Source organism: Homo sapiens, chromosome 19, assembly GCF_000001405.40.
Source record: "Homo sapiens chromosome 19, GRCh38.p14 Primary Assembly".
Lineage (NCBI taxonomy): Eukaryota > Metazoa > Chordata > Mammalia > Primates > Hominidae > Homo > Homo sapiens.
In genome coordinates, this window is record NC_000019.10 from 30805188 (window position 1) to 30807961 (window position 2774).

General features: G+C 43.7%; 1 annotated feature.

The window, feature by feature from the left end:
• Positions 1859-2358: an enhancer, noted in NCBI's record as "H3K27ac hESC enhancer chr19:31297953-31298452 (GRCh37/hg19 assembly coordinates)". NCBI's record gives its function as "activates a minimal SCP1, AML or CMV promoter by ChIP-STARR-seq in naive H9 embryonic stem cells {active_cell/tissue: H9 hESC(naive)}" and the evidence as "EXISTENCE:reporter gene assay evidence [ECO:0000049][PMID:30033119]".

Sequence of the window (2774 nt, forward strand, 5' to 3'; positions counted from 1 at the left end):
TTAAGCAGCTGCAGAAACAATCTTTAATCACGTATACAATATTATTGGTGACACCGTGCAATAAAAGGGCTGAATGCTTCATTTTTCTAGATTTCCTTTTATATTTCAAAATCGCTTTTCTTTCAAATTATTGTTATCTTATACATTTACTTAAAAGGAATTACTTATGGCTTCACTTTTTTTTTTCTTTTGTTGGCTGACCATTCCTTTTTTAAATTACCACCTCACAGGGACTGCAGACTTTCAAACACTTTGCATATGAAATGAAAGGCTTGAGTGTATTATGTTGCAATTTTTAAGAATGGCATAATTTTAATTAGAAATGTATAGATGAATAAAAATAATGCTGCTGCACGTTACTAATTAGGTATTTTATTACTCTTTGATTTAAAAAAGAAGTATACCTGGTTCTAAGGAGGCAGTGCCATCAGCTTGTTTGAAGCTCCTGGAGAGGAAAAGGGCATGAGGACCGGTGGGGTCATGGTGAAGGGAGGTTGGGGGACCTCTCCCGTGGGAAAGGTTGGGATTGAGAAGGAAACATGTGCCCAAAAAAAGACAAATGAAGAGATACTGCTGAGTGCTGTGAAAATGATCTCTCTTTGAAATCAGTCAGCAGCAAACACTCTACCATTCTGAGCATCTCACCCCTCTGCTAAGCTATTATCCAGGTAATACTATCCTCACTGAAGCTTTTTTCCCCTTGAAATTTATAGATAAATAAATAAGGGGCTAGCTCTATAGCACCTGCTGTCTGCTTCAAAAGGAGTCTGTCTTTTGTGTTTAAAGCAGAGACATGTATGATATGTGATTGTCACCTCAGGGCAATCATTTTTCCCCTGGTTTCCTGGTTGGCTCAGGTGAGGGTATTCTCCCCAAGCTCAGCTGTGAGCTCTCAGCAAGGCTGGAAACCTGTAGCTCTGCGTTAAGTCCCTGACCCTGCCTGCCATGCTACCACGCTCCACCTGAGCTGAAGATAGTATGATTCAGCTGTGGCTTTGTCAGACGCATTTGAACCAGAGCAACTCCATCTTGTATAGACACTGGGTAAAATAAGGCTGAGCTACTGGGCTGCATTCCCAGGAGGTTAGACATTCTAAGTCACAGAATGAGATAGGAGGTTGGCACAAGATACAGGTCACAAAAACCTTGCTGATAAAACAGGTTGTGTAAAGAAGCTGGTCAAAACCCACCAAAACCAAGATGGTGATGAGAGTGACCTCTGGTTGACCTCACTGCTCATTATATGGTAATTATAATGCATTAGCATGCTAAGAGGCACTCCCACCAGCGCCATGACAGTTTACAAATGCCATGGCAACGTCAGAAAGTTACCCTATACAGTCAAAAAGGGGAGGGACCCTCAGTTCTGGGAATTGCCCACCCTTTCCTGGAAAACTCATGAATAATCCACCCCTTGTTTAGCATATAATCAAGAAGGAACAATAAATATAAGCAGCTGAGCGGCCCATGCTGCTGCTCTGCCTATGGAGTAGCCATGTTTATTCCTTTACTTTCTTCATAAACTTGCTTTCACTTTACTCTATGATTTGCCTTGAATTCTTTCTTGCACGAGATCCAAGAGCCTTCTCTTGGGATTTGGATCAGGACCCCTTTCAGGTAACAGCTTGATGGTTCAGTTAGTGCTTTTGGTTGCTGACATGGTAAAGCTATGGACCTCCCACTGGTAGGAAGGCTCCTCTCTGGGATGGTGGGTGAACGTGAGCAGATCACGGCTGATTCTCTACTTCAACTGCCTTTGCAGCCAGGAGGACCCATGGTGAGAGGCCGTGGCTGTGGTCAAGGACCTCTGTGCCCAAGCAACAAGGCACATTTCCTAGACTGAGCAAGAGCAGTCTTTGCGTTGGCCCTGCCAGATGTGTGTGGTTTGCATATGGTCAGGGCAGACCCTCCATCCTGTAAGAAGCATAGATTTCTTCTAACTTGCCCAGTTCTGAGCTATCACAATCACTCTCATCTGTGTCGCTGAGCTCTGCTCGGCAAGTGTGGTTCCTCCCAAAGACATCTCACCAGGCTGCACCAACGAATGCTAAGTCCATATACTTAGCAGCTTCGGGCTACCAACCTTGGGTTGGTCTTCCCTGAGCCCCTGCATCTGGAGCCAGGTGCACTGGAGGAATTATGGGGTTAATAGAGGAACTTCCAGAGTGTGGAACTTCTGCAGAGGGGCATCTTCCAAGAAAAGCAGAGCGGCTTCCCCCATTAGGAATGGTTTGTGGCCAGGAATCTCTGGGCTGTCACATCCAATTATGCAGCCTACTAATCAGCAGAGAACTTGGGAACATCCTGACTGGGGAAGTCGGCATCTGTTCTAAATCTTGCCCTCGGAGCAGGAGCAGTGCCAAATACCACAAAGACTGCTTAGCTGGGTACAAAAGATGCTGTCAACAGGCCAGAAATGGAAAGAAGTCCTGATTTGATTTGAATGAACTATTTTTTTTAAATGGGATAGGGAAAAAAAAGTAATTGAATTACCTCCAATAAAAATAAGCTCCCACATTCTTTGAGAAAAAAAAATATACACAAGTTGTGTCTGGTTAGAAATAGAGATATTCACTGCTTTGGTTTCCAGTATAAGTAGCAAAATTCATGACCTCCTCACTCGGGTAATAGTTTTAAAAAGCTGTTTCTTTGAGACTGCTTGGCAGGTGATGTATATTTCCCCAAACCTAGGCTCTAACCTACTTTGTCAAACATGTCAATCATTTCTTCTTTCAGCAATAGCTAACCAGGGGACATGGCACACTAAGAGTGAC